General features: G+C 40.0%; 1 protein-coding gene across 8 annotated transcripts in view, besides 3 other annotated features; it reads left to right on the plus strand.

Annotated features, from left to right (window-relative positions):
• Positions 12,205 to 12,887: an enhancer, noted in NCBI's record as "NANOG hESC enhancer chr3:39508789-39509471 (GRCh37/hg19 assembly coordinates)". NCBI's record gives its function as "activates a minimal SCP1, AML or CMV promoter by ChIP-STARR-seq in primed H9 embryonic stem cells {active_cell/tissue: H9 hESC(primed)}" and the evidence as "EXISTENCE:reporter gene assay evidence [ECO:0000049][PMID:30033119]".
• The window catches only part of MOBP (myelin associated oligodendrocyte basic protein), a 61,818-nt gene continuing 47,833 nt past the window's right edge, over positions 12,587 to 26,571 (plus strand). For 7 of the 8 annotated variants that reach the window (NR_103505.2, NR_103504.2, NR_003090.3 and 4 more), the window contains exons 1-2: positions 12,587 to 12,647; positions 24,947 to 25,030. The gene's annotated coding sequence lies outside the window, so the exon portion shown is untranslated. The remainder of the gene's footprint in view (positions 12,648 to 24,946; positions 25,031 to 26,571) is intronic. The other variant, NM_001278323.2, reaches the window with a different exon arrangement.
• Positions 17,221 to 18,028: an enhancer, noted in NCBI's record as "H3K27ac hESC enhancer chr3:39513805-39514612 (GRCh37/hg19 assembly coordinates)". NCBI's record gives its function as "activates a minimal SCP1, AML or CMV promoter by ChIP-STARR-seq in primed H9 embryonic stem cells {active_cell/tissue: H9 hESC(primed)}" and the evidence as "EXISTENCE:reporter gene assay evidence [ECO:0000049][PMID:30033119]".
• Positions 18,029 to 18,836: an enhancer, noted in NCBI's record as "OCT4-NANOG-H3K27ac hESC enhancer chr3:39514613-39515420 (GRCh37/hg19 assembly coordinates)". NCBI's record gives its function as "activates a minimal SCP1, AML or CMV promoter by ChIP-STARR-seq in primed H9 embryonic stem cells {active_cell/tissue: H9 hESC(primed)}" and the evidence as "EXISTENCE:reporter gene assay evidence [ECO:0000049][PMID:30033119]".

A 26,571-nucleotide genomic window follows, 5' to 3' on the forward strand; every position in this document is an offset into this window, starting at 1 on the left:
GGAATCCTCCTATCTCAGTCTCGCGAGTAGCAAGAACTACAGGTCCATGCCATCACACCTGGCTAAGTTTTTTATTTTTTTGTAGAGGCAGGGTCTTGCTATGTTGCCCAGGCTGGTTTTGAACCCCTGGCCTCAAGCGATCCTCCCACCTCGGACTCCTAGAATGCTGGGATTATAAGTGTGAGCCACTGTGACTGGCCTGATGGGTAAGATAGAACAGGTGGTTTACTGAGGAGACAGGACCTGCCTATAGCACAGTGAAGTTCATACGGAAGTGTTGGGGTCCAAAGAGAATTGAGAAATAAGACCCTGGGGACCAGCCAGGCCCCAAGGAGGTGGCAGGAAAGGAAGGTGAGACCAGGCAAATTGGCTGATTGTTTCCCTGAATGTGTGGCTGGCTAAACCTTGGGACTGGGAAAGTTTTTTTGGTGCTTTTCTGAGCTCAACTTTTGGGTGCTCATGCCTTGCTTTGAAAGGGTTTTGTCTATGAACCTAGACATCTTTCAGTAATTACTTAAGTTACTCAGAAAACTGGGGGCCCTGGAGCGAAAGGAAGAGACAAAAGGGGGGAAAAATCCATGTAGCAGTCTGGTTCTGTTTGATCTGGAAGACAGCGGGCAATAATGGAAGAATGCTGGAGATGGAGATGGAGGGTGGTTGGATTCCACCATCTTGAGCCACGTCTGCTGTTTGGACTTGCAGACTTCAAACATGGCTGGGGGATTCCTAATTGGAATCAAGCTAATTCCCTTCTCGGTGTTTAAAGGGAGCAGTCACTGCTGGGTGAGATGGTCGCAGATCGGATCCTGGACACGGGGTTATGTGTTTGCTTTCCGAAGACGACTGCATTAATTGCAGCTCTCACTAATGGAAAGGAGCCTGTTTCTTTGTCCACGTGGTCAAATGAAGCCTGGGCATGGTCACTTAGCTCTGGGTGTAGGGAGGTGCAAGATTTAGGCTCGGGGCCCAGGACCCCCCAGTCTGACATCTCCCATTTCTAGGCTACCTGGGACCTCCCAGAATCTGCGACAGCATGAATAGGACATAAGGGTGGTGGGGGCGCCGGGGGGATCCCATCCTTATAGCATCGCCCCCCAATTCACTCCTAGTTAACCCTGTTGTCGCCAACTTAGTGAAAACCTCGCCTATGTCTCCATCACACATCTGCCACCTCCAAGTGATGGTTAAGCCGGTGTGCAGGCCGGTGGTGACAGGGATGGGGACGGCGCAGTCCCCATCCCCGCACCAGGCAGCACCGCCACTTCCTCGCCAGCCCGGCCGCAGCCCTCCCCGTCCCGGGCCGCGCCGCTTTGACTGATCTCCCCTATTTTCAAAAGGGAGAACTGAACCTCTTTTTCTTCTCTTTTCTTTCTTTTTTTAGAGACAAGGTTTCGTTTTGTCACCCCGGCTGGAGTGCAGTAGTGTGATCATGGCTCACTACGTCCTTGAACTTCTGGGCTCAAGCGATCCTCCCCGTTCAAGCCTCCTGAATGGCTAGGACTACAGGCACGCACCACCACGCCTGGCTAATTTTTATTTTTAAATTTTTATGAAGACGAGGTCTTACTATGTTGCCCAGGCTCGTCTCAAACTCCTGGCCTCAAGCAATCCTCCCCCGTTAGCCTCCCAAGGCATGAGCCACTGCGCCTGGCTCTTTTTCTTTCTTATTTTCAATTTGTACTGCCTTTACAGCAGCAGTGTAGGTAGCGCCTCCTGAAGAAATGCAAGTTGAAAAGGGGAACATATTATTTCCCAGTCTCCAGAAGAAACGCAGTCCTGCCGGTATCCTGATTTTAGCCCAGTGAAGCCAATTTTGGACTTCCGACCTTCAGAACTGTAAGATAATATAGCTGTTTTAGGTTGTGCTGTTTTAAGCCATTAAATTTGTGGCACTTTGTGGCATCAACAATAAGAAACTAATACACTAATCAATATACTCCTTGTTATATGATAAGGCAAAAAAACAAAAAACAAACTATGTGTACACAGTAGATCACTATTGTAGCTGGCTACCATATGAGAATCACCTCAGAAACACATTGAACGTAACTGTGATTGCTTTTTCATCATTTACTCTGTCCACTGACCTAGATTACAGAATTCTGGGTAAGACACACTCGATTTAATAATTGAAGTGTTAAAGTTTTATGGCATGAATATTTAATACAAATAGGGGTTAATTCCAACCATGTCTTTTTCATTCCTCCTGGAGACCTGTTTGTATCATTGGAAATGGTCTGGCTGCTAGTTACAGAGGCCTAAACTAACAGGGGCTTAGTTAAGATAGGGGCATATTTTTCACTCGTAAAAAGTGATTCACAGGTAGGCAATCCAGAGATTGCACAGATGCTCCAGATATTTTCCGTGTTTCAGAGTCCTACGTGTGCTCTGCCTGCCTTAGTTTTTAATTCTCATGGTTACAAGATGTCCACCTTAGCGCCATAAGAAACATCCCATATTACAGGCAGGAAGAGGGGAAAAAGGGAAGGATAAAAAGGTGCCTGCCGGTGGAGCAAGTCTAACCCTGAAAGAATGTTCCTGAAGGCCCAGCAAGGCTCCCACGTGCACGTCATCACTGGGCACCAGCACGTGCAGGGAAAACTAGGCAGTGTAGGTTCTTTGTAAAGCTAAGTGCGTTGCCACTCAAGTATCAGAGGGGCTCTGGGACTTAGAAGAAAAGGTAGAGGAGGCATCAGGTAGGCAATTAGTGGTTTCTGATGTGCTGTTCTTTCCAGACAGCTCAGGGTATTTGGATGCTCTCTCCTGCCCTCCTGCTACCTAAACTTGGGTGAGACTGGTGTGTCTGGATGACAGGTTGAGAAAAATTCACGTTTATTAGTTGTTCATACTGTTCTTTGAGGAAACACAGAGGTTTTTCAGAACTGCTTTAGGGATTCCACAGACAATATATATTTTTCTTTTAAATATGAAGGTTTAGGCTGGGCGCAGTGGGGTTACATGCTTAATCCCTGCACTTCTAGGAGGCCACGGTGGGCGAGTCACTTGAGGTCAGGAGTTTGAGACCAGCCTGGCCAACATGGTGAAACCCCATCTCTCCTATAAACACAAAAATTATCCAGGTGTGGTGCCACGTGCCTGTAATCCCAGCTACTCAGGAGGCTGAGGCAGGAGAATCACTTAAACCAGGGAGGTGGAGGGTGGAGGTTGCACTGAGCCGAGATTACGCCACTACCCTCCAGCCTAGGGAACAGAGCAAGACTCTGTCTCAAAAAAAAAAAAAAAAAAAAGGAAGGTTTAATGTTCCCATGGAGCACAACTATTAATTTTTATAATTTATATCAGAGATTCTTAAACATTCTTTTTTTGGTCTTATTTTTTGTTACCACAGCAGAACAGATTTTAAACATTCTCGATTCAATTCTTCACGGCCACAGTCAAAAGAAATACTTAATAGCTCGCTTTAATAACTTACATAACTTTTATGTTCTAACAAGTTAGAAGTGATTTGAAAAAAATCATAGACTCCTGGCTTCACAAGGGAAGCTGCAGACCTTCCTGGTATTACAGCTCATGAACGCAGGGCAGACCCAAACAGTGCGCAGCGGCAACACTTATCACGAACAGCAAAACAACAAACAGCTGTTTGCCCTGCTAGTTCAGGTGGCCTGCTTTTATTCCCTTATTTGGCCCCACCCACATGTTGCTGATAGGTCCATTTTACAGAGAGTTGATTGGTCCGTTTGATAGAGTGCTGATTGGCCCATTTTACAGAGTGCTGATTGGTCTGTTTTTACTGAGTGCTGATTGGTGTGTTTACAAACCTTTAGCTAGACACAGAGGACTGAGTGGTGCATTTACAATCCTTTAGCTAGACAGAAAAGTTCTCCAAGTCCCCACCCAATCCAGAAGCCCAGCTGGCTTCATGTCTCAGCAGCTCACTGCAACCTCCTCCTCCCGGGTTCAAGCTGTTCTCCTGCTTCAGCCTCCCAAGTAGCTGGGATTACAGGGGTCTGCCACCATGCCTGACTAATTTTTGTATTTTTTGTAGAGATGGGGTTTCACCATGTTGGTGAAAGATTCTCCCGAGGCCTGAAAGCTTGAAGGGATGAGTAACTCCTCCCTTCTCAGGCACAGTCCCAGGGCGCAAAGCCACTTGCACCAGCAGCCTGCGTCAGCAAGATAGCAGAAGCAGGAAGAGAGCTGGCCAGAAGACACCTACCCTTGAAGATTGAGAAAGAGGCCATCCAGGTACCACGTAGCAGTTACGTCAGATTGGGACACTTCCTCTTTACAGGAGACTATAAAATCCTTTCCCCTCCTCACCTGGGGCTGATGCCATTTTAGGCCTCAGCCCACCTCTACCGAGGTGCTCATAAAAACAGCATGTTGCTGGCTCATGCCTGTAATACCAGCACTTTGGGAGGCCAAGGCGGGCGGATCACAAGGTCAGGAGATGGAGACCATCCTGGCTAATACTGTGAAACCCCGTCTTGACTAAAAATACAAAAAATTAGCTGGGCGTGGTGGCAGGCCCCTATAGTCCTAGCTACTTGGGAGGCTGAGGCAGGAGAATGGTGTGAACCCGGGAGGCGGAGCTTGCAGCGAGCCGAGATCGTGTCACTGCACTCCAGCCTGGGCAACAGAACGAGTCTCCGTCTCAAAAACAAAAACAAAAACGAAAACCAGTATGTTGCTCCACACCGCCTTGTGTTGTCTGTTGGCGCACTCCCGGGGTTGGAACTGATAGAAGAACCTTTCAGTTGGCCAGGCTTGTCTTGAACTCCTGACCTCATGATCCGCCTGCCTCGGCCTCCCAAAGTGCTGGGATTACAGGCATGAGCCACTGTGCCCGGCCTCTTGGGACAATTTTAATTGGTGGGGATCCTTTTTATTAAAAAGAAATCTTGCTGGAGTTGTGTTGTAGTCAGAGCCCTCTTTGAGAAATCCTCCCAATGAAGTTAATCTTTCTCAAATTTGGTCAACAGCTGAGAAGCGATATTTGGAGTAAATGGGAGAGGGTTAATGGAAACTTTAGGTAAAAAAAGATTAAGTTGAAAACAGGCTATTGTCAGCTCAGCCACATGTGTTGTCTACACCTTATTGTGGATTTCAGATCAATAAGATCAGAAATCAGATTTTTAGTTTATCAAGGTGCAATAAATTAGAGAAGGTAGCTTTTATTTATAAACATCTTATTGTGCCCAGGCAGTGTTAAAAAAGAGCCTTAAAAAACAACAACAACAAAAAACAGAGCCTGATAATAAATTCCAATATATTAACTCACAAGGGTTGTCAATTACTTGGGATATGTGATTTTCTCAAGACACTTTCTTAATAAACTACCAGATCACAAAGTGACAAATGTTTGGCTGCTTGGTAAGCATAGAATTAAAATAATGGTAATTCTCCTTTCAAAGGTTAGTTCCATCAATGTTGGGTCCTGCTCCATGGTGCATATTTCTTGTCTAGTGAAAACTTGTATTAGGAATTAGAATTAGGCTTCCTCCACTGCTGCGGGCTGACATCACATTGTTACATTCTTATTCTGGGTCTCCCCTTTTGCTAGAATCCTTGCATATTGCTACCCCATATCCACACTTTCCTTCTCTAATGGCAAATTACACAGAGTTCCAAACATGGATTGGGCACAGGAAGTTTAACAGTGGTGGTATGGCTCCTATAGAGTGAGTTTTAACACTGAAAATTGAATAAAACCCAGTCTCTTAATTAGGGAACACTATGTACATTATTATACAGGTCACCACTGGCCAGAACACAATTGTGACTGGGCCCTAGCAGAGCAGAGGGAGAGAGACGGAGATGTTGGGTGTGGAGCTTGGGAACACACAGAGGCTTTGTCTGAGTGGCTGGCAGCTCAGTTGGTATCATATTCCTCTGTTTACGATTGAATGCTGGAGAATGTGGTGCTAAAAATGTGTAAGATTGAGGTCAAAATCTTGGATGAGACAGGTTTACACTGAAAGAGAGGATTGAAGGGCAAATGAGGAACCATTTAGGAATATTTTCTTTCAGGTTTGATCAACCAGTCCATTATTATTTACTTTACAATAATTAAGTGGTCTTATTATTACTTTTTTTTTTTAAGAGACAAGGTCTCTATGTTGCCCAGGCTGGTCTTAAACTCCTGAGCTCAAGTTATCCTCCCGCCTTGGCCTCCCAGAGTGCTGGGATTATAGGCCTGAGCCACCATGCCCAGCTGGTCTTATAATTATTTATAAAACAAAACACTGATTTTTCATATATATCAGGAAAAATAGCATTGGCGTGAATCAGAAACTCTCTGGCCTATCTTCTGTCTTTCTACTTGAAAATCAACTTTTACAACACATATTTGATACATAATTTTGTTAAGTAAACAATAATTGTCTAATTGTGGATATGACTTGATGTATATTTAAGCTTTTAGGTGAAATATGGGAGATGTTCTTACCAGTGACATGCACATCTCCTTTCTAAGAAAATGTTCTTTTGTAAATAATTTACTCATTTATATTAATTTTCAGTAATCTCCCTAACAAAATGTTGGCTATTCCTTCTAACCTTTTTTATGGTTGACTTTCTCTCTGTGCTAATATAAAATAGTATTGTGACTGCTAATGAGTTTGGGGTTTCTTTTCTTTTTTTTTTTGAGATAGAGTCTTGCTCTGTTGTTCAGGATGGAGTGCAGTGGCTCGATCTCAGCTCACTGCAACCTGTGCCTCCTGGGTTCAAGCAGTTCTCATGCCTCAGCCTCCTGAGTAGCTGGGATTACAGGCGTGCACCACGATGCCCGGCCAATTTTTCTATTTTTAGTAGAGACAGGGTTTCACCATGTTGGCTAGGCTGGTCTCGAACTCCTAACCTCAAGTGATCCGCTGGCCTCAGCTTCCCAAAGTGCTAGGATTACAGGCATGAGCCACAACACCCAGCCTGGGGTTTCTTTTCAGAGTGATGAACACGTTACAGAATTAGATGGTGGTAATGGCTCCACACCCCTGTGAATATACTAAAAATTCTATACATTTTGCAGCTTAAAATGATGAGTTTTATGATCTATAAATTATATCTTGCTACAATTACTGTTCTTTGGTAAAAAGTGGCAGGTTAACTACATATGGTTATTTTATCTACTCTCCTTTCCAAAAAATTACTAAAATTATAGTAGTAAAATATTTGTAAAAGGTAAAGGATTAAAAAATATTTTCCTCCACAAAGGCAGTAGAGCATTTTAAAAACGACTTTAACTCCCAAAGAAAAGGAGACAACAAGATGAGAGATGATAACACAATTTTAGGAAAGTGGACGGAGGATGTAAACAGAGTGGAGGAAGTTTCAGTCTGAGTGCTTGCAGGAGCGATGCCTGAGAAAAAAGCACATCAAAAGTTATCTGTTAAAACGCTGAGGGTCTCTACACTTGGAGCATCCAGGTATAGTGGAAAGCAAGGATCAGGCATAGACAAGCCGCACACTCAGAATGGACTCTCAGGGTCATTGCACTAACTTGCTGTGGTCACTGGAAGTTTATTATGGAGAAATTTCCTGATTCAGGAACAGTGAGGAACACTCATGTGGGTCCCTCAGATCCCTTGTCTACTTTGATCACAGAATATCAATAGCACGGTGTTAAAACTTCTGTATCTTCCCTGCCTCTATCAGGCTGAAAAATAGATTGCTTTTCTTTGAAGAAACTGAATGACCCTATGGAAAAATCTCCAGCTACTTATATTTCTAGGTTCGTCATTGTAAAAGCCAACATGGGTACCCACTGCATTCTCCAGCAACAAACCCATCCTTGTACCTGGAGCCTCCAGTTATCTCTTGAATGGCTGACTATTAAGCAGTAATGGACAGTGCAAGATCGCCAGATAAAGAGGACAACTTTTGGTCAGAAGGGGAGAGATGGAAACAAATAACCAGGATGAAGAAACGTGGAGTAAGCAAACTGATTCAATGCAAGGAGCAAAACTAGGAGCAAAACTAACAAAGACACAAACAAAACCAAAACCAAGCAACATCCCCCAGTGTAGTAGTTACTGTTTTCCTAGTTTGCTAGTTTACAGAAAATGCTATGTGCTTTGAGAAAAGAAAAGTCAGCAAACAAGAATGAAGTCTTGAAATTTAACAATATAATTGTCAAAATGAAGTATCAAATTCAAAAAGAGGGTTATAATAAATAAAATAAGAAAACTTCATGAAAGGTAAAACAAGAAGTCAAAGAATTGGAAACTAGGAAAGAGAAGAATGAGTAACAATTTAGAAGATCAATTTAGATCGTTCAAAAGCCAAATAACAGAAATTTCAGAAACAAGAAAGAGAATGGAGAAAAATGAATTAATAAAACCAGCAACAAAAAGGAAGAATTTTTAGAGTGGAATTTTGTGAATTTCCAGATGAAAATGCTCCACCAAGTGGGGATGAAGAAACATTCACTTTGAATGGTGAAGTTTCAGAACAACTGGGGTCAAAATAAGATCTTGAACATTTCCAGAGGCTTACAAAAAATCACAGAAAAAGCAGTGGGCATCTGAAAGGTCTGGAACTCCTCAAAAACAACACTGGAGGGGAAGATACAGAAAACCAATGTATCATCCACATTGTTTTTCTAAGGGAAAATACTTTTCAACTTAGAATTCTATACACAAACAGGCAATCAAGTGTGAGGGCAGAATAAAGGAGTTTTCAGGGACGCAAACACTTAGAAAAATTCACTTAATATATACTCTTTCTAGGAAAAGTATTGTAAGGCATGCTTCAGAAAAATGAGGGAGCAAACCAAAGATGAGGATGGCATGGGATCCAGGACAAGGTGATCTCTTTCCAGCAAAGCAATGAAGGGAAGAGCCAGGGCTGCGCCGGGTCTACAGAGCAACCAGCCTGAAATCTGAATGAGATGACAGAGGATTACAGAAGACAATAGATGTGAAAGATCATTCAGTATATTGGAATGCTTAAAAATTATTAACAGATAGTTGACAGATCTGTTGGAATATTTGGAAAAAAGGATGTAGTGTAAAATTTAAAACTAAGCAGATTAAAATAAATGAATAAAATTAAAAATGGGGTGATTATTAACTCCAGGAACAAGAAATTTGTACAAAGAAAGGAAACAATTGTAGTTAATCACAAGGTTCTGAAGGAAATAATATTTACATATTTATAATAATATAAATACTAACTACATTCAGTAGGTAAGGGAAAAGGGAGAGGAAAAAGTAGAATGTAAGAAAACTATACCCTTAAGAGGAAACCAATAACCTACCATAAATAGGTATATAAATGGCTATTTGTGTGAATTATTTAGATATATGGAAATAAATAGAGAAAAGATAGCTAAGAAAAGGTTTAAAATGGTTGCCTCTGGTGGCTGGGATGTTGACTGGTGAGGCAGCATAAGGGACTATTGTTTTCCAACAGAAGCCTTTTAATATTATTATAACTTTGCACAAGTGTTATTTTGATAAATGTAGAAACCAATTGAAATAGTACTTATTGTCACTGTGGCGTATTAGTTTGTTAGGGCTGCTGAAGTAAAGTACCACCAACTGGGTGACGTACACAACAGAAATGAATTGTCTCACAGTTCTCAAAACTTGAAGTTTGAGGTCAAGGTATGGGCAGGGCTGGTTTCTTCCGAGGGCTGTGAATGAAGGATCTGTTCCAGGCCTCCTTCCTTGGCTTGTGGATGACCATCTTCTCCCTGTGGCTTCACATTGTCCTCCCTCCAAATGTGTCTTTCTGTCCAAATTTCTTCTTTGTGTAAGGACACTAGTCATGTTGCATCAGAGCCCACCCTAATGACTTCATAACTTGATCACCTCTGTGGTCTGTCTTCAAATCCTTATTTGAATCCAAATTCTTTTTTTTTTTTTTTTTTTGAGACAGAGTCTTGCTCTGTCACCCAGGCTGGAGTGCAGTGGTGCAATCTTGGCTCACTGCAACCTTTGCCTCTCAGGTTCAAGCGATTCTCGATTCTCAGCCTCCTGAGTAGCTGGGAATTAAAATCCTCTGTAATGTTAGGCACATGCCACCACACCTGGCTAATTTCTTTGTATTTTTAGTAGAGATGGGGTTTTGCCCTGTTGGCCAGGCTGGTCTCAAATTCCTGGCCAAAGTGCTGGCCTTACCGGAGTGAGCCACTGCACCCGGCCTCATTCCAAATTCTGAGATACTAAGGGTTAGGACTTCAACAAAGGAATTTGAGAGATGAGGGATGGGACACATTTTAACTCATAACATGTGGGGATTGTCAATTGTAGCCAAAGTTTCTGTGGGAAAATCCTCTGTAGTGTTAGCAAGTTTCTTAATTGTGACTGTGAGTCCTGGGAGGTCTTGCTCTGTGTGGAACACAGGCTGCCATTCAAGAAGAGTGACACTGACTCAGACGTGGCCTCCCCAGTGGTTCTGGGAGTGAGGGTGCCACCGCACTAAGGGCAAACACTAACATTTAAGTAGAAATAGAAAAAGATGGCATTACAAGCATTTTGTGGAACCTCCATACTTTGGTTGTGTAAATTGTATATCACTCTATATATGGTGGAGTAGAAGATCAAAGATGGGACTTCCCCAAAATGTGTCATTAAGAACTTTTGTTGGAAAGATTTGAGAAGCAGAGGGTCTTTTAATAAAGATAGAGCTTTATAATATATCTACTAGATCTTGTATTTTTTAAATAGCCTGAATTAGTCTCCAGTTATTTTGTGAATAGAAAACAAGTCCTTACAACTGCCACCCACCCCTGTTGGTAACCTTCTTTAGGGCCAGGGCCATAAGAGTGACATTGGTGCAGGACTCTGTGTGCCAGGCATTCTTTCCACCAGTGAACACATATTAACTGATTTAGTCCTCACTCAAATCCTTGAGGTGGGTCCTGTGATGATCCTAGTGTCAGTGCCTCCAGAGCTCAAGCTCTAAACCATCTTACCCTACTCCCCAGCCCTCAGTCACAGTCAGTACAACACAAGCAAAATACTGGCATCACAGTGGGAGTGAATCAACCAGCATACGTCTATAACTCATTACTCAGAGAATGTTTAATTAACTATAAAGTTAGTATACGAAGAGGCCAGGCACGGTGGCTCAAGCATGTAATCCCAGCACTTTGGGAAGCCAAGGCAGGCGGATCACCTGTGGTCAGGAGTTTGAGACCAGCCTGGGCAACATGGCGAAACCCTGTCTCTACTAAAAAATACAAAAATTATTCAGGCATGATGGTGGGTGCCTGTAGTCCCAGCTGCTCGGGAGGCCGAGGCAGAAGAATAGCTTGAACCCAGGAGGTGGAGGTTGCAGTGAGGTGAGAGCGCCACTGCACTCCAGCCTGGGGGACAGAACCAGATTCCGTCTCAAAACAAAAACAAAAACAAAAATGTTAGTGTACAAAGAGATTTATAGTCAATGTTTGTAGTCTCACTGGATTACCTTTTCAAGGTTCCCTGGCTGATTCTTTACTGAGACAAGAGCCTAAAGAGAAACTTGGTGGTAATGTTGACATTTATATTACACTGTCATGGAGGGGGCGCTGGGAATTCAAAAGGCAAGGCTGCTGTTGGTTGGATTGGTTTCAGAAGTAAGCTTTCATCTTTCAAATCATTAGTGGGTAGTTCTAGTTCTACATATATAAAATAAATAGCAGAAGCAGAGTTACAGGACCCATGGCATTTAACAGAGCACAGAAAGGTGTGGCCCCACATTTTAGGTTAGGAAAATTATAAGAAAATGCCGGTGTCTAAGACTGAAGCCAATAAAATGTTAATTGAATGAGATTTATCATTCGCAGAAACTGTTCAACATAAGAGATGATTTATACGTGTTTTCATAAATGTGAATGCATAGGGTAATTGTCATGGAAACTTCCAAATTCAATGTTAGTTGTAACTAGACTGGATTAGACTCTTGCTAATCAAGTGTACAAGGGCATGCTTGTGTGAATTTTAGTTTTGGGGTGTATCTATGGGTATACATGAGTGTTTTAGGGAAGGAAGTGTGATCGGTATTTAATCTACATGGAGTATAAAAACTCCTGGAATTTGTCAATGTGATTGCAGCTGTGTTCATGGCTTATGGGTATGGCTTGTGATGTGTGAGTGAGGTATGGGGTGCTGGGTGGGATGGCGCTGTGGTGGCATAGCATGTTGGTGGAAGGGTGTGTGGTTTGGTAGGGTGAGCTGGTGTGTGGTGTGGTTGGACCTGGCATGGAACTTAACTGGAGTTTATGTGGAATGAACCTTGAGGGGTGAGTTTTCACATGGGGTGTTGATTATGTGGGAGGTGGGAGGCTGGAATATGTGAATGTTGGGGGGCTGTAGAGTGAATGTGGGGTGCGTGTGTATGTGTGTGTGAGATATGGTTATAGCTTAGCTTAGCTTTTGTTTAGATTTTCTTTTGCTCTTTGTTTTTGTCTTTGGCCTTTGTTTTATCTTTGTTTCGCTCTTTGTTTAAACTTTCTTTGGCTTTTGTTTGGTCTTTCTTTAGCCTTTTGTTTAAACTTTGTGTGGCCTTTTTGTAGTCTTTGTGTAGCTTTTGTTTTTAAGTGGATCTTCGCTGAGGACTCATCAAAAACACCTTGTGTAATGAAAAACCCAGATCTATAACCTCTCCCTATATATTCTGCATGCATTGAAGTAGGCTCAAACCCTCAGGGACCTGGTATAGACGCAGAATCTGTTTCACACAACAACTGCTATTTGAAGGTAAGAGGATTCCATTGGTTTTTATTTTACTTCATTTTATACTTTCATCTTTAAATGACAAGTGTACTTTTTTGTATGGGCCATTTCATTATATCCCAGGGAAAACTTTCTGTAAGAATAGTCAAGATTGAGAGGACATACAAGGATGGAGAAAACAAGAACAGAGGACACCATGTTTATTCTGATGTGGGCAGGGGGCCTCCTGGAATGTTCCTGCTAATGTTTGGAAATCGTCTGAGCCCAGAGAGAGGCTCTGAGCCCTTACTCAGATTTCCTCAGATTCAAAGCCCCATGTTCCTGGAGCTAGATGGATGGTAGTACATGCTGCTGCTGCTGCTGCTTTTTTTTTTTTAATTTATTTCTTCTTTTATTATTTGTCATGATTTAAAAATGAGTTTTTCTTCTTATCTAGGAACAATTTTTTTCCTCATACAGTTGGATTTATGTGTGGGGGATCTTAATGGAACAACAAAGCCCAAATCTTTTCGGAATTCTGCCCCCTGTAGACCAACAACCTTAAATGGAAAGGCGCTAATGCTTTGTCTGATACAGAATATCTTAGAAACAACAGGGAGTTTTCAGTTCTATGGATGACAGAGAAAGGAAAAAATATTATGTGTCAGGGAGGCGAGTAATGAACTTGGCCTACAGTACTAGCAGGAAAACGGGGAAAGGACTTTTTAATTCTTTGTGAATAAATCAGGGAGGCAGAGAGCAGGCTGCTGCCAGGTGTGCGGATATGCTGTTTCGTATTTAGAATGACAGGAAACTTGTTGGTGAGTGAGTTTTAAAAATTGTTTCAGATTTTCAGAAAAGTTGCAAACAATACAGAAAATTTCAGGTGCAGCCAAATTACCCAGATGTTCCTGTTTTACCATATTTCCTTTATCATTCTCTTTCTCTCTCTCTGTATCCATACATATGGGTGTATATATAAAAATATGTGTGTGTATATACATATATACATATGTGTGTGTATATACATATATACATATGTGTGTGTATATATACATATATACATGTGTGTGTATATATACATATATACATGTGTGTGTATATATACATATGTGTGTGTATACATATTACATATGTGTGTATATATACATATATACATGAGTGTGTATATATACATATATACATATGTGTGTGTATATATACATATATACATATGAGTGTGTATATATACATATATACATTGTGTGTATATATACATATATACATATGTGTGTGTATATATACATATATACATATGTGTGTGTATATATACATATATACATATGTGTGTATATATATACATATATACATATGTGTGTGTATATACATATATACATATGTGTGTGTGTATATACATATATACATATGTGTGTGTATATATACATATATACATATGTGTGTGTATATACATATATACATATGTGTGTGTGTATACATATATACATGTGTGTGTGTGTATATACATATATACATGTGTGTGTATATACATATATACATATGTGTGTGTATATATACATATATGTGTGTGTATATGTATAGATATATATACATATGTGTGTATATGTATATATACACATATTTATATCTAATTAATTTTAATTAAAATTTATTTTAATTGGAATTAACTAAAATTTATTTTAATTGGAATTAATTAAAATTTATTTTAATTGGAATTAATTAAAATTTATTTTAATTGGAATTAATTAAAATTAGAAAATTACTATTGAGAAAATACTGTTTTTAAATCTAGAGATATCTAGATTTCATCAATTGTCCAAGGAGCGAATTGAGAACCATGCATGACCTTTTGTTGTCCTGTCCCCTCAGCCTCCTTTAGTCTGGAACCACACCTGAGGCAGCTTTGACCTAGACAGTTTTGGAGAGTATAAGCCAGTTATTTTGCTAAATGTCCCTCAATATGGGTTTGGTCTGCAGTTTTCTCACAATTATGCAGTTTTCAAAGGAATAGGCTTGCATTTTAGATCATACATATCCAAATTCATACTTGAATCTGAGTATACAATTTTTAAATTCAAGATCTTGTTTACCTAATAGTTACTAGGATTTTAAATGAGTACCTAAAATCTTTGTACACCAAATTGCCAAAAATTAAAAATCTAGAGCTTTTACAGATAATTTCCAAGGAATCACCAAAAGTGTGTAAGTATTGCCCTTGGATTATAAATAGCAATTACAGTGACCTGTATGTGATCTTATAGGCTTAAAGTGAGGTATTCAATTTAGATTCTTTGTGTGTGTTGGAGTCATGTCTACTGCTCTCTGAGTATTAGTTTCATAAATATAATAATTCCTTTCTAAGTGCAACCATCTGCTGAAAGCAGATACAACTCAATAGAGTTTCCCTGGGTAGCCACTCCAGGCTGGCTGGCATCCTTTCGCGGGTTGACGGGGACGTCTGCCCTAGTGGAGGAGGCGGACCTCTGGCAACGCTGCAAAAAGTCTCCTGATCAAAAGTGTTTCCTACATGTTCTAGTACTCACACCTCAGCACTGAACTACAGACCACACCCATATTGAGGGACAACTAGCAAAATAACTGGCCAAAACTGTTAAAAACTGTCCCCTTATGGGGACAGGAATCAAAACTCTGAGATCCTTCAGCTGTACCAGACATTCGTAAAACAAGTCTTCTCAACAAAATCTGTGAGGTAGGAACTATCATTCACATTTTACAGAGAAGAAAATTGAGATCCAGAGACTAGCCTATGATTACACACAGCTAGTGAATGACAGAGCCTGGAACTCAAGTATGATATAAGCCTATTGAATTTATGGATGAGATGCATTATTCTTTTTTACTAATACATCACACACTTTACTTTAAAGTTACAAAAATTTAAGTTAAAAAGATGAGCTGAAAATGAACTAAGCAATATTTTAAAATAATTTTTATTAATGGTATAAAATTATTTGTACTCACTAAAAATATCAGTTGTATTTTTAATGAGAGTAATTGAGTTCAATGTCAAATTTAGTTTTTCCTCCTCTTTGTTAATTTAATAAAAAGATCTTCCTAGTAGTAGGGGCAGAGTTAGCTCTGCCTATTAAAAAATTAATTTGGGCTTATATTACTACCAGTATGATCTTAAAAGTCTTAAGTTATTCACTAGTTCCTTATGAAAGAATAAGTTCAGCTAAAACAGCTAAAAACCAGAAGATATAATCAACAAATCCACTCACCAGGCTCAATCTTCAATAATTTTCAGTATACTGAGAGCAAAGGGACAAGTGAAGGCACCCAGATGACCATCCATTGTTCAGGGCGTGGCTAGCTAACTTGTGCTGAATGAGGGTGGCAGGATCAACCCATGCATTAAATGTTAAATGTAACAATCTCATTTTTATCTTTGTAGATAACACATATGAAAAGAAAAGTCTTTTTTTTTTTTTTTGCGATGGAGTCTCACTCTGTCACTAGGCTGGAGTGCAGTGCACCAGCCTAGTGGCTCACTGCAACCTCTGCCTCCCAGGTTCAAGCGATTCTCCTGTCTCAGCCTCCCAAGTACCTGGGACTGCAGGCTCGTGCCACCACGCCCAGCTAATTTTTTGTATTTTTAGTAGAGACGGGGTTTCACCATGTTAGCCAGGATGGTCTCAATCTCCTGACCTCGTGATCTGCCTGCCTCAGCCTCTCAAAGTGCTGGGATTACAGACGTGAGCCACTGCACCCAGCAAAAGAAAAGTCTTATACCTCATCTTTCTGAACCTCAGTGAAACATCTTGGGAACTCCCATGGGTAGGCACATCTGCTTTGGAGACCACTGGGCTGACCCTTCCACCTTAACAATTCAATTACACCAGGATATGATGGGCTGACACCAAACTCCTCTTGGTATTTCAGTCTCTGTCAACCCCAAGTCTGGAACGTCTCCATTCCAAGTTCTTTTCCAGCTCCTCCTCTGGCATGAGGCATGAGTCCTTTCCCAGCTCCTCTTCTGGCATGCCGGCATGCCCCTCCTGCACTTGTTTCCATTCAGCTCTGCATTACCTGCTACAATGGCCCAGTGGCCACATCCAGAGAGCTAGTAATTACGCATAGAAGGAATCTAACATGTACTGAGATATAGACACCACAGCGCTCCCAAGAAGCAACAGGTGTGTGGAGGCATTGACTCAGCTACCAGATCCACCACCTCTGCAAGCGCAGAGCAGAGTTCATTTCTCCACACAATGTTTGCACGCAGGTGGATGAGGGCTTCTGGTGTCTTCAAGTCCAAAGGGTTTTCTATAACTACTATAGAGAACCTTGTGGTGGTTTCCTCAGAATCACCAAGGTTAACTTCAAGTCCCTACCCCTTGGGTGCCTGGTAGAGACAGAACTCTCATTTCCTTTGTAAGTAAGAGAACCTCTGTTTGGAAGTGGCTGGCAGTTTTATCATTGTGGAGATAGAGGCTTTGACTTCCCAGCAGACTTCCTTTACTTTGAGAAGATTACTAAAATGAATTCCTTAGATTAACAAATATAAAATATCCATTTTTTTGTTTTTGTTTTCATTTTTTGCAGAGAAAACACTGAAGTCACAAAAAACTTAAATGCAGGGCAGTTGGTTAACCTATTGTATGATCTTTGTAGTACAGTGAACATATTGTGGCTTTAATAGTACTGTTCCCTGGATGACATAGATTAACTTTTTTCTCCTAAATATCGAATTAGGTTAAAATTTTGGGGTTCTGTACATAGTGCTATTTAATATTGAGGAACTCAACTACTGGGAAAATGTAGCATTAGCTATTATGACTGTTTCATCTGGGCCGTAAAAGTCACTCTGTAGTTTGATAAAGTGTTTTCTACTTAAAAGACTACTCGAAGGATATTCCCATGATGGACCATCCTGGAGTGAAAAATGAGGGCCCCCTTCTCTCACTCAGCCAAAAAATTGGGCGCCACTGGCCAGGCATGGTGGCTCATGCCTGTAATCCTAGCACTTTGGGAGGCTGAGGCAGGCAGATCACTTGAGCTCAGGAGTTTAAGACCAGCCTGGGCAACATGGGGGGACCCCATCTCCACAAAAAATACAAAAATTAACCAAGCGTGGTGGTGCGTGCCTACAGTTCCAGCTACTTAGGAGGCTGAGGCTTGAGGATCATTTAAGCCTGGGAGGTCAAGGCAGTATGAAGACATATTCGTGCCATTGCACTCGAGCCTGGGTGACTGTCTCGAAAAGAAGACTGGGACTCTTGTCTCAAAAAGGAAAAAAAAATAATTGGGGGCCAGGACATGGAAGGGTTGGGAGGCCAGAGAGTCTTGTGGATAGGGGTTAAGCTGCTTTCCACAACCTGGAAATCTGCGGGGCTGGACTGGGCCCCTGGGATTAGATCCCATCATGTGTGCTCCAAGAGTGACTTCTTATAATAACTGTGCAGGCCACTCTGGCTTCTGTTGCTTCTGTCACCCTTAAAGCATTAGGTAAATACCTGGTGTCAGCTGTGCTCTGGGTGGTTAAGGAATCTTCGTTTTAAAAGGTACTTCTGATTTTATTTTTGTTCAGGTATGGTGAGGCCAACCAGATCAGGAGATAGTTGCCATTGAAAAGACAGTGTTTTACCCATCACTCCCAGGAGGAGGGGGAACATGGGGAAGGGCCACCTGGCCACATGGGGAAGCGCTAAGGTCTTAGGTCAGGAGTCAGAAGGAGTGAGGGTGAAAAAGCATGGGTGAGAGCCTTTATTGTGGTTTTTGTTGGGAGAAATGGTCTAGGCAGAGTAAGCAGGAGAGGCGTGCTTAAGATTGGCTAGTTTGAATAATTTCATGGGGCTCTGAGGCGTAGGAGCTGTCTGGTATCTGGTCCTGGAGGGATAAGGGCAGAAGAATATTAGTTCAACTTGTAAGAGCTCAATAAAGGAGGTAGTTGGTGAATTTGGGTTCTGGATTGGTTGATTTGCATATAAATGGCAGCTCACAGGGGAGGCAATTGCTATCTCTAGGAATCAGCTAGCCCTGGGAGGGGCAGCGTCTCCAGGGTCAGCAATGCCCCAGATGCCAGAGCATCAAGAAAGAATACAGAAAATAAGATCATTTCCCACAGAATATATGTATCAAAACATCACACACTGTACACCATAAAAACAAAGGAAAAGCAGCACAGGAAGCTATAAGGTTGTGTAATAAGGGTGCTTGAGAGTTAAACTAGACTGGCTAAGAAAGTTTTCCCTGAGGGAGGCATATTTGACTTGAAATCTTGTATTCTTGGGCAGGTGTTACACAAGTAAAGTGAGCTGGGGAGGTATTTCTGGAAATACCAGTCCAAGGTAGAAGGAACCATAGCGCATTGAGACAATTGAATATGGTTGAAACACAGAGAGACAGGAGCTAAATATGTTTTTTAGCTCTATTTTTAGCTCTATTTTTCTTCACTTGGCTGGTTTTCTGAATGCTCCAAACAAGGGATTTGAGAGTTCCTACTCCAATCACTGATACTTGATGGTTTATGTAAGTTATTGTAATAAAAACATATAAATGGCATTAACTTAAATGAAACACTGACTCAAATTACTCAAATTCCAATCACTGGCTCTTGATGGTTTATGTAAGTTACTGTAATAAAAACACATGGATGGCATTAACTTAAATGAAACACAGACTCAAATTACAGTGATGTGTTGGTTAACAACAAAGATACGTTCTGAGAAATGAGATATTAGACGATTTAGTCATTGTGTGAACGTCATAGAGTGTACTTACACAAACCTAGATGGTACAGGCTACTTAATACAACGGTAAATATTTGTATGTCTAAACAGAAAAGATACAGTAAAAATACAACATTATAATTTCCTGGGGCCACTGTTGTTTAAATGATCCCTCATTGACTGAAATGTTGTTATATGGCAGACGACTATACATGGAACTCCTAACTTATACACATCATCCCTCTAAAAAGCCATTTTTCCCTAATTGCTTCTCCCCATCCATTAAATTTTAATACTACATATGTATAGTATGTCTGTTTATGTATTGTACATATCTGTGCTTTGCACATAAAAAGAGTGAGAATTCTCACATAGGTCTGAGATTTAAAAAAATAAAATAAAACAAGTAAGGTTTTTTTGCCTCCCCTCAAGATCCAGTTTTTACTTCTTGGAGGGGATATTACCCACGTTGCAAATACATGCAGTGTGCCCTTTACATTGCTTTCTTTAATGTTAACATCTTACGTAACTGTGTAGCACAACTAATAAAACTAATAAATTAACATTGATACATTATTAATTAACTGTAGACTCTAATCATATTTTACAAGTTTTACCACTAAAGTCCTATTTCTGTCAGGTACTAATCCAGGATCTTGCATTGCATTTAGTTATCAGGTCTCTTTAATTTTCTCTAACCTGTGACAATTCCTCAGTTTTTCGTTGTCTTTCATGACCTTTAGACTTTTTAAAAACATTGAAAAGTTATGTATAGTGTCCTTCAATTTGAATTTTTCTGAAGTCTTCTCATGATTAGGTTGAAGTTATATATTATTGAAAAGAATTACACAGGGATGATGTGTGCTTCTCATATCAGAGAATAAACGAGGATGATCTGTCTTATTACTGGTGATGTTAACCTTGATCATTTGGCTGAGATGATACTTCCCAGATTTCTCCACTTTAAAGTGATTATTCTTTTCTTTTTAATTAGTAAATATTTCTTGGGGGAATATTTTGAGATGATACAAATATTGTGTTTCTCCTTACACTTTCACCTACTAATTTTAGCATCCATTAGTCAATGATGCTTGCAGAAATTATTATTGTGGTACTCTAATAGTGATTTTCTATTTCTCTCATTACTTCTACATTCATTAATTGGAATGATTCTTTAAGGAAGATTATCTCTTCTACTCCATTTATTTATTTATTCAGTTATTTATTTATATCAGTATAAGCCCAACAATATTTATTTTATTCCTTGGTTTATAATCCAATACTATTCTTATTTACCTTCTTGCTCAAATAACTTTGGTAGGAGCTCTTTTAGGTTAGCTCCTGTGCCTTTTTCACATGTTGCCAACCCCTCTGAGCATTTTCTGACATCACAATTTTTTCCAGGATAAACTTCTATTTTCTCTGTCTCAGTCTCAAATCAATCACCTCTTTAATGAGCCATGGTTCCTTTTATTGGACACTTTACCAGTGTAGCCTAGTACACTGATGATAATTAAAAAACAAAATTTGGTTATTACTTGTTGTATCAGTTCATTCTTACGTTGCTATAAAGAAATATCTGACACTGAGTAATTTATAGAAAAAAGAAGCTTAGTTGGCTCATGGTTTTGCAGGCTGTACAGGAAGCATAGCAGCTTCTGTTTCTGGAGAGGCCTCAGGAAGCTTCCAATCATCACAGAAGGCAAAGGGGAAGTGAGACATCTCAGATGGTGGGAGCAGGAGAGAGAGAGGGAGGAGGTGCTGCACACTTTTAAGCAACCAGATATCATGAGAACTCACTATCGTGAGGACAGTACCAAGGGGGATGATGCTAAACCATTCATGAGAAACCATGATCCAATCGCCTCCCACCAGGGTCCATCTCCAACTCTGGGGATTGCATTTTAACATGAGATTTGGTGGGGATACAAAGCCAAACCATATCTGGTGTATTTCTTGCTATTGGGGTGTTACTTCTTCTAAAGCTTCTCATCAGACAGAGCTAGGAAATCTGTGTGTGTATACTAACTTACATATGCACACACCTATGTTTATTTCTGTATTTCTGACTCCAATCTAGCAGCACAAGTTTCATTCTAGCCTTCTTCCTTTCCTTTTTTGTGACTTCATTCTTTGGATAGTAAGAAACTGGATTCTCACTATCTATAATGTATTTATTTGCTTAATTCTACTATTGTAGGATTATCTACACTATTTTTCAAAGTTACTTCAGCCATATCCTTTCTTCCCCCCTTCCCTTCAGTGTGGTTATGTGATTCATTTCATTTGATTTATTTATTGTAGTCAGTTTCATTATTCACAGCCTGCATTTCATCTTGGATTCCCTCTGCTTCCCCACATTGTGATTGATTTATTTTGTTTGATTTTTTAAAAAAATTCTTATTCTTTATGGAAAAGCCTCATTTTGTCATACATTATGCTTATCTTTTCTCTATTTTAACATATCAATAATGATAATCTCTGGGTCTGCTTCCATTGACCATTAAAAAAAATTTGGTATCCTTTTCCTGTTTCTTTAGGTGTCTGGTAATTCTTATTGTATGCTGGACATTGTGGATAATAGATTGTAGAGGTTCTGGATTATGTTAAATTACCAGAGACACTCTGACCCAGTCAAGTCTTGGTTTTAGGCCTTGCTAGGTCAGACCTATTTTATCTTTGCATTTACTTCTATGAGTTGTCCCTATTCTAGGGTGAGAGCTTTCTGGGGTCTCAACTGAAAGATTGGGATGTTCACCAAGGTCTCACAGTGTCTCCTCATTAATATGTGAATTCAGATATTTCTACTTGGTTAACAGCCTCTTAGCAAAAATTTTTAAGGGGCTTCCCATAGTTTCACCCTGCAGTTGTGCAACTTTGGATTTGGCCAAGGATCTGAGAGAAATTATATACAGTCATGCACTGCATAACAATGTTTTGGTCAATGACAGTGGTGGTCCCATAAGATTATAATGGAGCTGAAAAATTCGTGTCATCTAGTGATGCCATGGCTGTCATAACATCATAGCACAACACATTACTCATCTGTTTGTGGTAATGCTGGTGTAAACAAATCTACTGTGCTGCCAATTGTATAAAAGTACAGCACATACAATTATGTACAGTACATAATACTTGGTAATGCTGATAAATGAATATGTTACTAGTTTATGTATTTATTATAATACACTTTTTATTGTTATTTTAGAGTGTGCTCCTTCTGCTTGTATTAAAAAAAAGGTAGCTGTAAAACAGCCTCAGGCAGGTTCTTCCTGAGGTGTTCCAGAAGAAGACATTGTTGTCATAGGAGATGACAGCTCCATGTGTGTTATAGTCCCTGAAGAACTTCCAGTGGGATGAGAGGTGGAGGTAGAAGACAGTGATATTGACTATCTTGACCCTGTGTAGGCCTAAGCTAATGTGTCTGTTTGCATCTTAGTTTTTAAGAAAAAAGTTTAAAAAATTAAAAATTAAAAATTTTAAAAATAGAAAAAAGCTTATAGAATAAGAATATAAAGACAAAATACTTTTCTATAGCTATATAATGGGTTTTAAGCTAAGTGTTATTACAAAAGAGTCAAAAACTTAAGAAAATTTAAGTTTATAAAGTAAAATGTTACAGTAAGCTAACATTTATTTTTGAAGAAAGAAAAAATTTAAAAAATAATTCTAGTGTAGCCTAAGTATATAGCATTTATAAAGTCTATGGTGGTACACTGTAATGTCCTAGGCCTTCACATTTACTCACCACTCATTTACTGATTCACCCAGAGCAACTTTTGGGTCTGCAAGCTCCATTCATGGTAAGTGCCCTATATAGCTGTACCATTTTAAATCTTTTATATTGTATTTTACTGTACATTTTCTATTTTAGATATGTTTCAATATGCAAATACTTAAATTACTATTGTGTTACAGTTGCCTACAGTATTCAGTACAGTTACATACTGTGCAGGTTTGTAGCCTGGGAGCAATAGGCTATACCATATAGTCTAGGTGTGTAGCAGGCTAAAGCATCTATGATGTTTGTGCAATGACAAAATTGCCTATTGACTCAGTTCTCAGGATTTAGCCCTGTCATTAAGCAACACATGACTGTATATTTTCCCAGTGGTTCCCTATTGTCTGTTATTCTCCCCTCCACCCTTCCAGATTCCCACGGCCTTAGCATCCCCTAACTCCTACCTCTGTTTCTTTCTGTCTCTCCTTGGACTCTTTTTTTCCCTGTACAGCAGATTGAAAAATATCTTCACAGAAAAAACCAGGATGAATGTGGGGTTTAACTGCTTTGCTTCCTTTCTCTCAAGGATCATAGCCCTGCAATCGTTGCCATCCAGTGCCTGAGAATAATTCTTCTGTATATTTTTTCAGCTTTATTGTTTCAGCAGGAGTTTAAATTCAATACTTGCTTCTATATCACTACTGATCATTTGTCTTTTTTTTTCTTCTTCTTTTTTTTTCTTGAGATGGAGTCTCACTTTGTCACCCAGGCTAAAGTGCAGTGGCACAATCTCAGCTCACTGCAACCCTCACCTCCCGGGTTCAAGCAATTCTCCTGCCTCAGCCTCCTGAGTAGCTGGGATTACAGGCGCCTGCCACCACGCCTGGCTAATTTTTGTATTTTTAGTAGAGACGGGGCTTCACCATCTTGGTCAAGCTGGTCTCGAACTCCTGACCTTGTGATCCACCCGCCTCGGCCTCCCAAAGTGTTGGGATTATAGGCCTGAGCCACCGCGCACGGCCCTGATCATTTTTCTAAATAAGAAAGCTTGTAGATTCATAGGATTTCAATTATTCTGTCAAGCAGAGGGGAGAAAAGAAACATGCTAGTGATCCTTATCTGATTTCACTTAAAACTCTTACAAAGATTTCTATAGTTCATTACACAAAGTTTTCAATTACATCCTTATTACTAGAATAAAAATGATCAACTAAGAGAACCAACTAGAATTACAGGGTTCTTTTGGAAGCTATTTTTGTGTCTAGAATCTTTATAATCTTATAAGACCTTTTTTTTTTTTTTTCAAATAGCCCTTCTGAGATCTGATATGTATTAATAAGGAATGGGACCAAAGGTTATGAATACACATGAACTTCCATATTTCATATGAAAACAGTATTAATATCCTCTGGAAGTTCTCAATTTAATGCTTTATCAAATTAGATTTTTTCATGTGATATACAGCACAAAGAACACATCTCTTCTTTGAGAGCCGTAGAAAAGGAGGAGGATATTCCTTAGGCTCCTTTCTTGGGATGATTTATTTGATTGTGAAGATTTATATTTTTAGAGCCAGACTCTGGAATTTCATTTATCAAGTTTATAAGCAAAAATTCGGCTTGTAAAGCTCAAATTTACTGGGAGAAATGAAAAAAAGAACTACAGATTTTCTATATAATGACAGTGAATTAACTGGACATATAGCTTTTTTTTTTTCTGTATAATGTTAAGGCGGTTATTAAAAGTTTACACGTGATTTTGTGACTGTATCTTTCCCCCATCCCTCAGCTGGCAGATGGCATCTAGATCAAACGTCATAATCCTCCCTAGGATTATGAGAGTGAAGCTCCATGTATAACACACTTGAATTAACTGCAACCTGAGAAACCAAAACACTATATTAACCAGAGCATATTCTACTGCTTCACTTTTAGGAAAAAAAAAAAAAGAAGCAAATGATACCAAGACAAGCTCATAACAGAGATCCAATCAGCAGATGTGTACGGATGAAAATACAGGTACAAATGAATCTCTTATAGCCTTTTGGATCTGCATCTAAATTTTTGCATAATGATGACTAGTATTCAGAATGTCACAATAGAATGCAGAATCAGCAAAAGAATGAGCAATCAAATTTTCAGTAAGAGTTAAACACTTCTTTAGTATGTCCACATGGCTCACCCTATTCTAGGTTCTGGGAGCAGAAATATAAAAAAAAATTTTCTCTACCCCAGAGGGACTATGACCCAAGCCACCGAGTGTCTGTGCTTGGCAAACCCACATATCATGCACAGCGGAACAGCCATTCTCTGATAAACAGACTTCCTCCCTTTATATTCCCAAACTTTCTGCAGGAGAGCCCTTCCATCTTTTTGTGTTAACTGAATCTAGCCAGTTCTCTGAGAACAAGGCTTTATCTGTTAGCCTCTCAAATGGCGGCCACTTTACACTCCAGGTAGCTCCAGGTTTGAGAGGGGGGTCAGTGTCTTCCCCACTGCCACCTTAGGCCACTGTGCCTTCACCCTCTAGTTAAACCTCTGCAATTTGAAGCTTGTGCTCCATTCCTGTGGCAGCCTTCACCGGGCCTCCAAGTCACATCTCCTCCTTCGCTGATGGTTTTTTACTGGGCTGCCCACTCCCTCTCCACTTAGGTGACTTTACTATTTACTTGAATGAAGTGTTCACCACTCCAGTGAATTATCCACTCTGCTCATCCATCTATTGTCATTCTGTGACCATTGTCAGTACCTCAAACTACTCCATCAAGCAAACAGTGCAAACGTCTAGCATCTCATTCACAACTTCCTTTCTTTTCATTTGTTATATATATCCCATTACAAGTCTTCTTTCACTAGGTGCTTCTAGTTGACTTGCCCTTTCACCTCCCATTCATTTACCTATCCATTCATCTATCACCTTTTTCTACCTTCTATTTTCTTCACATTACTGATAGATTCTAAGATCCATTACTTCAATTCTTCTCTTGAAAATTGTCTGGTGAATTCCACCCCAGGGTGAACCTATCCATCTCCTCTATGTCTACACCCAGGCTGCTAAGAAAAACTAAAGAAAAACAGAGTGGAGCAGATTTGTATTTCTGCAAATTAATGGTCAGTGACTTCAACTAGACTCCCAAAACTGACTGGTCTAATTTCTACAAAATCTCTCTTAAACCCATTCTATTCCTCTCAAGCCTCAAACTCTCTTATTCTCAGCATCTTTCCATTTCACTGGAAAAATGGAAACTATTAGACGGAGACTTCATACTGTCAAAAGTCTTCTCTCTTCTAACAAAGACCAACCATTTTGCATGTGCTCTGCACTCTAGCTCCTCAGGTTTTTCTCAAGAATATTAATTATTTCCTCTCTTTTTTGATATTATTTCTATTTCTTCCTCTCTACTTCCTATTAGCACTTATGCATAGTCCAATTTATCTCATTACTACAAACAGCTCAACAAACCAGCCAAACATCTCCCTCTGCCCCCACAAAGAACCCTTTGCAAACCACGTGATTCTCTAGCTACTTCTCTCCCACTGTTCTCAAATTTCTGGGCTGA

The sequence above is a fragment of the Homo sapiens genome, chromosome 3, assembly GCF_000001405.40.
Source record: "Homo sapiens chromosome 3, GRCh38.p14 Primary Assembly".
NCBI lineage: Eukaryota > Metazoa > Chordata > Mammalia > Primates > Hominidae > Homo > Homo sapiens.